This window comes from Homo sapiens, chromosome 11, assembly GCF_000001405.40.
Source record: "Homo sapiens chromosome 11, GRCh38.p14 Primary Assembly".
Taxonomy (NCBI): Eukaryota; Metazoa; Chordata; class Mammalia; order Primates; family Hominidae; genus Homo; species Homo sapiens.
In genome coordinates, this window is record NC_000011.10 from 72,205,607 (window position 1) to 72,215,996 (window position 10,390).

Sequence of the window (10,390 nt, forward strand, 5' to 3'; positions counted from 1 at the left end):
AATGCCATCTACTTGGGAGGCTGAGGCAGGAGAATTGCTTGAACCCGGGAGGCGCAGGTTGCGGTGAGCCGGGATCACGTCACTGCACTTCACCTGGGTGACAAAGTGAGACTCCATCTCCAAAAAAAAAAAAAAAAGAAAAAAACAACTTTTCTAGAACTCTTAAAACTAACCAAAAATTTCAAAAATCTAAGGAATATTTGTGAGTGATGTCACCAACATGGTGGACTAGGAAGCTCCTGACCCTCTACCCATGAACATACCAAATAAATATCCCTTTGCCTCTGACAGAAAGCCAGAGGGAATTCCTCTGAGAGCCAGCTGAGAGACTCCTACCCATCCAGCAATTAAGGAAACATCCACACCGAATAGATAGGAAAAGCTGAGGCACACTCAGGCACAGACCTCACCCCAAGCACTGCACCATAAAAGTGGGAAAGAAATCCCAACACCCAGCTTCTCCCTGTGGAGAGATGGCATTAAACCTCACATGTACTGCCCTAACTCTAAATGTCCCACAGTTTGGCTCTTAATTCACCAACCTGGGGAGTGGAGGGAATTAGACCTGAACAAGTCTCTCCAGACCACAGGAAAAAAGCAACTTTTTTTTTTTTTTTTGAGACGGAGTCTCGCTCTGTTTCCCAGGCTGGAGTGCAGTGGCACGATCTCAGCTCACTGCAACCTCCGCCTCCTGGGTTCAAGCGATTCTCCCGCTTCAGCCTCCTGAGTAGCTGGGATTACAGGCGTGGTGGATTACAGGCGCGCACCACCACGCCCAGCTAATTTTTGTATTTTTAGTAGAGACAGGGTTTCACCATGTTGGTCAGGCTGGTCTCGAACTCCTGACCTTGTGATCCGCCACGTTGGCCTTCCAAAGTGCTGGGATTACGGGTGTGAGCCACTGGGCCTGGCCAAAATGCAACGGTTTTATACTAGCACTTAAGTATTTCCAAGGGCTTAATTCCCCGCGATCAATGCAGAGAGGGGACTTTAAAATGCACCTCCTGTTTCTCCCTGGAAGGGACACACTTTTCCAGTAGCTACTTGATGGTGTGGCTTCTAACTAATTTGCACGGGGGAGTTAAAGGGTCAGACAAATATTAACCTGCAGCCAGCCTGAAAAGCAGACTGGCACTTCCCAACCGTTCTACCCTAGCTCACTCCAGCAATACCCCCACATACATGAATACCCCCTGGAAGGAGTTTGTCCACACATCAATTGCCCCAACTTTCATAGCTTCAACCCAAGGGACTGCATCCTAAACTTCCTAGCTCTGGGAGGAGCTAGACCACAGGAAAAAAGTGGCAGCTTTATATGGGCATGTAAGTACTTCCAGGGGCTTCATCCCCCAGGGGTGGTGCACAGAAAGGGCTTTAAAAAATGCAGGTCCCAGCAGGGCATAGTGGCGCATGCCTGTAATCCCAGCACTTTGAGAGGCCAAGGCAGGCGGATCTCTTGGGCTCAGGAGTTCAAGACCAGCCTGGGCAACATGGTGAAACTCTATCTCTACAAAAAATACAAAAATTAGCCCAGTGTGGTGGTGCATGCCTGTAGTTCCAACTACTCAGGAGGCTGAGGTGGGAGGATTGCTTGAGCCTGGGAAGCGAAGATTGCAGTGGGCCACCGTACTCCAGCTTGGGTGACACAGTGAGTCCCAAAAAAAAAGAAGAAAGAAAGAGAGGGAGAGAGAAAGAGAGAGAGGAAGGAAGGAAGGAAGGAAGGAAGGAAGGAAGGAAGGAAGGAAGGAAGGAAGGGAAGGAAGAAAGAGAAATGCATCGCCCATTAAAAAAAAAAAAAAAAATCCACGTGTGCTGGCTCAGGCCTGTAATCCCAGCACTATGGGAGGCTGAGGCGGGTGGATCACCTGAGGTCAGGAGTTTGAGACCAGGCTGGCCAACATGGTGAAACCTCGTCTCTACCAAAAATACAAAAATTAGTTGGCATAGTGGCAGGTGCCTATACTTCCAGCTACTTGGGAGGCTGAGGCAAGAGAATTGCTTAAACCTGGGAGGCAGAGGTTGCAGTGAGCCAGAATCGTGCCACTGCACTCCAGCCTAGGCAATAGAGGGAGACTCCGTCTCAAAAAAAAAAAAAAAAAAGCCAGGCACAGTGGCTCATACCTGTAATTCCACCACTTTGGGAGGCTGAGGCAGGAGATTCACTTGAGGCCTGGAGTTCAAGACCAGCCTGGGCAACATAGCAAGACCTCATCTCTCTCTATATATATAAAGCAGCTTCCTGTTTCTCTTTGGAAGGGGTTTTTGGCATGCATCGAGTGCCCCAACTTTTCAGTTACCTCCCAAAGGTCTCCATCCTAAACCTTTTAAGTCTGGGAGCAGAAGGGACTAGGCATATGTGAGTCTTTTTTTTTTTTTTGAGACAGAATCTTGCTCTGTCACCCAGGATGGAGTACAGTGGAGTACAGTGGTGCAATCTCAGCTCACTGCAACCTCTGCCTCCCAGGTTCAAGTGATTTTCCTGCCTTAGCCCCCACCCCAGTAGCTGGGATTACAGGCATTCACCACCATGTCCAGCTATTATTTTTGCATTTTTAGTAGAGACAGGGTTTCACCATGTTGGTCAGGCTGATCTCGAACTCCTGACTTCAAATGATCCATCTGCCTTGACCTCCCAAAGTGTTGGGATTACAGGCGTGAGCCACTGCACCCGGCCATATGTGAGTCTTTCTAGATCACAGAACAAAGACGTAGTTTTAAATCGGTGCACAAACAGTTCCAGGGCTATGGTCCTTTGGAACAATTGAGAAAAGGGGAGGGAACATCTAGTTCCCATTTTCTCTCCAGAAGGGGCTTATAGTACACTTCCAGTGGCTACTTGATGACCTAACAGCTAACAAACTTGCACCACGGAGATCATGGAGCAAACAAACAATAGCCCTATTACAGCTTTAGCAAGGGAACTTCATGAAACTTTCCTCTGGCTCACCCCATAAATAAATCCAGGTCTACTCATTCTTACAGGAAGGAGCTTGGCCATGCACTGAGTGCCACTACTTCTATGGCTCCAACCCTGGGATCTGTCTCCTTAATGACCTAGCTCTTGAAGTTGATGGAGCTTTGCATTCCTGGGTGGGCTGAGACCACAGAAAATGAAGAGGTGAACATATAATAGGCACGCTTCCAACAGCTATTTCCCCAGGATCAGAAGGCACAACCTGAATGTTAGTAAAGGCATTTGCCACAGATTTTCTCCTCAGCTTAGTGCAGAGAGAATGGGAGATAAACACCTGTATTCAGGTTTACCACAAAGATAGAAGTAGCTGAAACACACACCCAACACTCCAACATTTCCAGCTACACCTACAGAGTCTGGCTCCTGCTTTACTGGTCTCAGAATACTGAAATGATATGACATAAACTCCAGGGGGGCACCAAAAACAGAATAGAGGTCTGGACAAACACAAAGACTTGAGAGGTACCTTAAAATCTCTGGTCAGACAGATAGGTGAGAGCCTTCTCCTACACGAGGCCAGTCGGACAAGACTGAGAGCGATAGTGATATGCTCAGGCTTTGTGTCCCCAGCCAAATCTCATCTTGAAGTATAATCCTTGTAATTCCCACAAGTCAAGGGAGAGGCGAGGTGGAGGTAACTGAATCATGGGGGCAGTTTCCCCCATGCTGTTCTTGTGATAGTGAGTGAGTTCTCAGGAGATCTGATGGTTTTGCAAGGGGCTCCTCCCCCTTTGCTCGGCACTTCTCCTTCCAGCTGCCTTGTGAAGAATGTGCCTTGCTTCCCCTTAGCCTTCAGCCATGATTCTAAGTTTCCTGAGGCCTACCCAGCCATGCTGACCTTTGAGTCAATTAAACCTCTTTCCTTTGTAAGTCACCCAGTCTTGGGAAGTTCTTTATAGCAGTGTGAAAATGGACTAATACAGATAGTTATTTTATCTAATGTGCAGAAACCAACACAGAGAGTCAAGGAAAATGAAGAAATAGAGGAATATGTTCTAAATAGAAGAACAAGATGAATATCCAGAAACTGACCTGAGTGAAGTGGAGATATGTGATTTACCTGACAGAGAATTCAAAATAATGACCATGGAGATGCTTACTGAGGTCAGGGGAGCAATGTAAGAACAAACTGACAATTTCAATAAAGAGATAAGAAGTATTTAAAAAGTACCGAATAGAAATAATAGAGCTGAAGAATACTGTAACTGAAATTAAAAATTCAATAGAGGGGTTCAATAGTAAACTAGATCAAGTAGGAAAAAAAATAGTGAATTTGAAGACAGGTTACTGGAAATTACAAAATCTGAGGACTAAAAAGGAAAAAATAATAAAAAAAGAGTGAGGATAATTTAAGAGACTTATGGAACACCATGAAGCATAACGACATAGACATTATCAGTATATCAAAAGGAGAAAACAAAGAGAAAGGGCTAGAAAACATATTCAAAGAAATAATGGCAGAAAACTCCCCAAACCTGGGGAAAAAAATAGAAATCCAGATCCACGAAGCCCAAAGGACATCAAATAAGATTAATCCAAAGAGACCCACACCGAGACACATCATAATCAAACTGTCAAAAGTTAAAGACAAAGAGAGAGTTTTGAAAGCAGAAAGGGAAAAGTGAAACATTACATGCAAGGAAACCCATAAGATTATCAGTGGGTTTTCAGCAGAAACCTTGCAAACCAGAAAGAAGTAGAATAATATATTCAAAATCCTTATAGGAAAAATAAATTTTAACCAAGTACAATACCAAGGAACCCTGTCTTCCAAAAAGGGAGAATGATAAAGACTTCCTCAGACTAACAAAAGCTGAGAGAATGTATCACCACTAGATCTGCCTTATGAGAAATGCTAAAGGGACTTATTTAAGCCAAAAGAAGAGGATGTTAATTAGTAACATGAAAATATATGAAAGTGTGAAACTCACTGGTAAAAGTAAGTACGTTGTCAGGCCCGATGTGGTGGCTCACACCTGTAATCCCAGCACTTTAGGAGGCCGAGGCAGGTGGATCACCTGAGGTCAGGAGTTTGAGACCAGCCTGGCAAACATGGTGAAACCCTGCTTCTACTAAAAATACAAAAATTAGCTGGGCACATGCCTGTAATCCCAGCTATTTGGAGGGCTGAGGCAGGAAAATCACTTGAACCCTGGAGGCGGAGGTTGCAGTGAGCTGAGATCATGCCACTGCACTCCAGCCTGGGCAACACAGCAAGACTCTGTCTCACACACAAAAAAAAGTATGTTGTCAAATTCAAAATATTTAAATGCTATAATGGCAGTAGGTACATTAATTTTATATCTCTAGTAAAAAAGGTTGAAAGATCCCAGCTACTTGGGAGGCTGAGGCAGGAGAATTGCTTGAACCCAGGAGGTGGAGGTTGCAGTGAGCCGAGATCGCACCACTGCACACAAGCTTGGGCCACAAGAGGGAAACTCCGTCTCAAAAAAAAAAAAAAAAAGTTGAAAGAAAAACTAGTAAAAACAAGTAAAGCTACAGTACTTTGTTAAGAATACAAATTATTTTACTTTAGAGAGCTGAGGCAGGAGGATCACTTGAGCTCAGGAGTTTGAGACCAGCCTGGGCAACATAGTGAGACCTTGTCTCTACTACACAGGTGTAGTTTGTACCTGTATAGGTAATGTAATGATATTGACAAGGGAATTTAAGACAAAAATTGTTAAGAGACAAAGGAAGTCATTTAAAAATGATAAAAGGGTCAATCCATCAAGAAGACATAGCAAATATAAATATAAATGCAACTATCAACAGAGTCCCAAAACACATGAAGCAAAAAATAACAGAATTGAGGAGAGAAATACTTTATTCAACAATAACAGTTGGAGATTTCCATATCCCGCTACCAGTAGTATTTAGAAAAACTAGGTAGTAGAGAACTTGAACAACACTATCAACCAACTAGACCCATCAGATATCTACAGAACACTCCAGCCAAACAACAGCAGAATATATACTCTTCTCAAGTACACATGGAACACCATATTTTGGGCCATTAAAAAAGGTACCAATAAATTAAAAATAATTGAAATAGAAGAAAATATCTTCCCTGATCACAATGGAATGACATTAAAAAATAAGATAAGAACATTCAGGAAATTTACAAATATGTATAAATTAAATATACTCGTAAATCACAAGGGAAATTAGAAAATGCTTTAAGATGAATGAAATGAAAACACAAAATACCAAAACCTAAGGGAGGTAGCTAAAGCAGTGCTTGGAGAGAAATTTAGATTTGTAAATGTCAATATGAAAAAGAAGAATAACTTAAATCAATAAGCTAACCTACTACCTTAAAAAAAACAGAGAAAGGGCCAGGTGCAGTGGCTCATGCCTATAATCTCAGCACTTTGGGAGACCGAGGCGGGCAGATCACTTGTGCTCAGGAGTTCGAGACCGGCCTGGGCAGCATGGCGAAACACCGTCTCTACAAAAAATACAAAAATTAGCCAGGCGTGGTGGCGTGTGCCTGTAGTCCCAGCTACTCAAGAGCCTGAGGTAAGAGAATCACTTGAGCCTGGGAGGCAGAGGTTGCAGTGAGCCGAGATGGCACCACTGCACTCCAGCCTGGGTGACAGAGTGAGACCCTGTCTCAAAACAAAACAAAACAGAAAAAGATGAGCAAAATAAACTAGGAAAAAGAAGGAAATAGTAAAGATTAGAGCAAAAATAAATGGAATAGAGGATAGAAAAACACCAAAAATCAACAAAATCAAGTTAGTTCTTTAAAAAATCAACAAAACTGATGAGCTTTATCTAGATTGATCAAGAAAAAAGGAGAGAAGAATCAAATCAATAAAATCAGGAATGACAAAGGGAAGATCAGTACTGACCTCACAGAAATATAAAGGATTATAAGGGAATAGTATAAACAATTGTATGCAACATATTAGTTAACACCGATAAAACGAACAAATTCCTATAAAGTCACAAACTACCAAAGATAACACAAGAAGTAAAGAATACAAATAGACTTGTGACAAGTAAAGAGGTTGAGTTAGTAATTTTAAAATTTCCCACAAAGAAAATTTCAGGCCCAGATGGCCTCAGTGGTGGTTTCTACAAAATGTTATTTATTTATTTACTTATTTTACAGACAAGGTCTCGCTCTGTCACCCAGGCTGGAGTGCAGTGGCATGATCACAGCTTCCTGCAGCCTCAACCTCTTGGGCTCAAGCAATCCTCTCACCTCAGCCTCCCAAGTAACTGGGATTACAGGTGCATGCCACCATGCCTGGCTAATTTTTTTTATTCTTAGTAGAGACAAGATTTCACTATGTTTCCCAGGCTCGTATCGAACTCCTGAGCTCAAGTGATCCTCCCACCTCTGCCTCTCAAAGTGCTGGGAGGACAGCCATGAACTACCGCACCTGGCTCAAATGTTTAAAGAACAATTCATACCAATCCTTTACAAACTCTTTCAAAAAATAAAAGGAGGAAATATTTCTCAACTCATTCTGTAAGTTGTATTATATGAGCCAGTATTACCTTGTTATAAAATCGGACAAAGATATCACAAGAAAAGAAAACATAGATCAATATTCCTTACGAATTAAGACATAAATCTGCTTAACCAAATATTAGCAAACTGAATCCAGCAACAGGTCAAAAGTATATACTATTACTAAGCAGGATTTATTCCAGGAATGGAAGTTGGCTTAGCATCCAAAAATCAATTGATGTTCACCGTATTATTAGAATAAAGGACAAAAACCACATGATCATCTCAATTAGTGAAGAAAACCTTGTTTGACAAAATTCAATATCCTTTCATGATTAAACAAATGCTGAACAAACTAGAAATAGAAGGGAACTCAACCCAAAACCCAATGAAGAGCATCTCTGAAAAAACACATAACATCATATTCAATGGTGAAAGGCTTTCAACCTAAGATCAGGAATAAGAAAAGGATATGTACTCTCACCATGTCTATTTAAATTGTACTGAAGGTTGTAGTTAGTGCTATTATTCAAGAAAAAAGAAATAAAAGGTATCCAAATTGGAAAGCAAGACGTGAAACTATTTTTACTCATAGATGATATGATATTGTATACAGAAAATTCTAAGGAATCCATAAAAACAATATCATTACCACTAAATGAGTTCAACAAGTTTCAGGATACCAGATCAAAATACAAAAATCAATTGCATTTCTATACACTAGCAGTGAACAAATATGAAAATGAATTTAAGAATATGATTCCTAATCCCAGCACTTTGGGAGGCCAAGGCAGGCAGATCACGAGGTCAGGAGATCGAGACCATCCTGGCTAACACGGTGAAACGCCGTCTCTACTAAAAATACAAAAAATTAGCTGGGTGTGGTGGCGCGCGCCTGTAGTCCCAGCTACTCGGGAGGCTGAGGCAGGAGAATGGCGTGAACCTGGGAGGTGGAGGTTGCAATGAGCCAAGATCATGCCACTGCACTCCAGCCTGGGGGACAGAGCATGAGACTCTGTCTCAAAAAAAAAAAAAAGAATATGATTCCATTCATAATAGCATCAAAAAGAATAAAATATGTAGGAATAAGTTTAACAAAAGTAAAAGTTACAAGTAAAAGACTTGTAACTATAAAACATTGTTGAAAGACATTAAAAACCTAAATACATAGAAACAAATCTCGTGTTCATCAGTCAGAATACTTAATATTGTTAACATTGCAATACTCTCCCAAACTGATCTACAGATTCAACTCAAGAGCTGTCAAAATCCCAGCTGTCTTTTTTGTAGAAATTGACAACCTGATTCTAAAATTCATATGGACATGAAAGAGATCCAGAATAGCCAAAGCAATCTTGAAAAAGAAAAAAATTGGAGAAATAACACTTTTCACTTTCACAACTTACTACAAATCTACAATAATCAAGACAGCATGGTAGTGGCACAAGGAGAGACATATACATCAGTGGAATCAAACTGGGAGTCCAGGTTTTTGACAAGGGTATTAAAACATGGGGAAAAGAATAGTCTTCAACAAATGGTGCTGGGACACAACTGGATATTCATATGCGAAAAAAAGTTGGACCTTTATCTTACAGCTTTACACAGGTGTAATACACTTGTATAAATACATCTTTATACAATATTAAAAACAACTCAAAATAGATCCATGACCTAAATAAACATAAAAGCAAAAATGATGAAAGTCTTTGAAGAAAACCTAGGCAAAGAGTTTCATGACATTGAATTAGGCAATGAGTTATTGAATATGAGACCAATAGCACAGGAAACAAAAGTAAAAATAGGTAACTGGACTACATCAAAATTAAAAACTTCTGTCCATCAAAGGACAATCAACAGGCAACATACAGAATGGGAGAAAATATTTGCAAATCATATACCTGATAAAGGGTGAATTCAGAATACATAAAAGAATACTACAACTCAACAAAAAGAAAACTCAATTTTAAAAATAGGCAAATGACTTGAATAGACATTTCTCCAAAGAAGATATACAAATGGCTAATAAGCATGGAAAAAGATGCTCATTATCACTAATTATTAGAGAAATGTACATCAAAGTCACAATGAGATATCGCCTCACACTCAACATGATGGCTACTATAAACCCAAAACTCCCAAAACAGGAAATAAGTGTTGATGAGGATGTGGAGAAATTGGAACCTTTGTGCACTGCTGATGGAAATGTAAAATGGTGTGGCCACTACAGAAAACAGTGTGGCAGTTCTTCAAAAATTAAATATAGACTTACCATATAATCCTGCAATTTCACTTCTGGATATATACCAAAAAGAATTGAAAGAAAGGTCTTAAAGACATATTTATATGCCCATTTTCATAGCAGTATTCTTCATGATAGCCAAAAGTGGAAGCAACCCAAAGGTCCATTGATAGATGAATAAATAAAGAAAATGTGGTACATACATACAATGAAATATTACCCAGCCTTAAAAAGGAATGAAATTCGGATACACCTTACAACATGGACAAATCTTGGGGACATTACGAAAAGCCAGTCACGAAAAGACAAATATTGCATGATTCCACTTGGACAAGGAACTTACAGTACAGTAGCCCAAATCACAGAGACGGAAAATAGAATGGTGGTTGGCGGGGGCTAGGGAAAGTGAAAGTGGGGAATCGTTTAATGGATATGGAGTCTCAGTTTTGCAGGATGAAAAGTTTCCAAGATTGATTGCAAACAGTATGACTATATTTGACACTGCTGAACTGTACCGTTAGAAATGGTTAAGATGGCACATTGTATGTCACGTGTGTTTTTACCACAATTTTTAAAAGGCCATCAAAAATTGCTTAATTATGTTTTCAGAAATGCCAGATGGTAATATATTGCTGTTTAACATATTTGAGACAATTTTAATTTTTCTGTGACCCTTGACTTCTATACCTCAACTTTTTTTTTTTTTTTT

The 10,390-nt window shown here is 40.5% G+C and overlaps 1 long non-coding RNA gene across 1 annotated transcript in view; it reads right to left on the reverse strand.

Annotated features, from left to right (window-relative positions):
• FOLR1-AS1 (FOLR1 antisense RNA 1) overlaps positions 1 to 3,635 on the reverse strand; it is a 45,920-nt gene extending 42,285 nt beyond the window's left edge. The window contains exon 1 of the long non-coding RNA NR_199595.1: positions 3,441 to 3,635. This is a non-coding gene — a long non-coding RNA (FOLR1 antisense RNA 1). The remainder of the gene's footprint in view (positions 1 to 3,440) is intronic.
• Between the last annotated feature and the right edge of the window lie 6,755 nt (positions 3,636 to 10,390).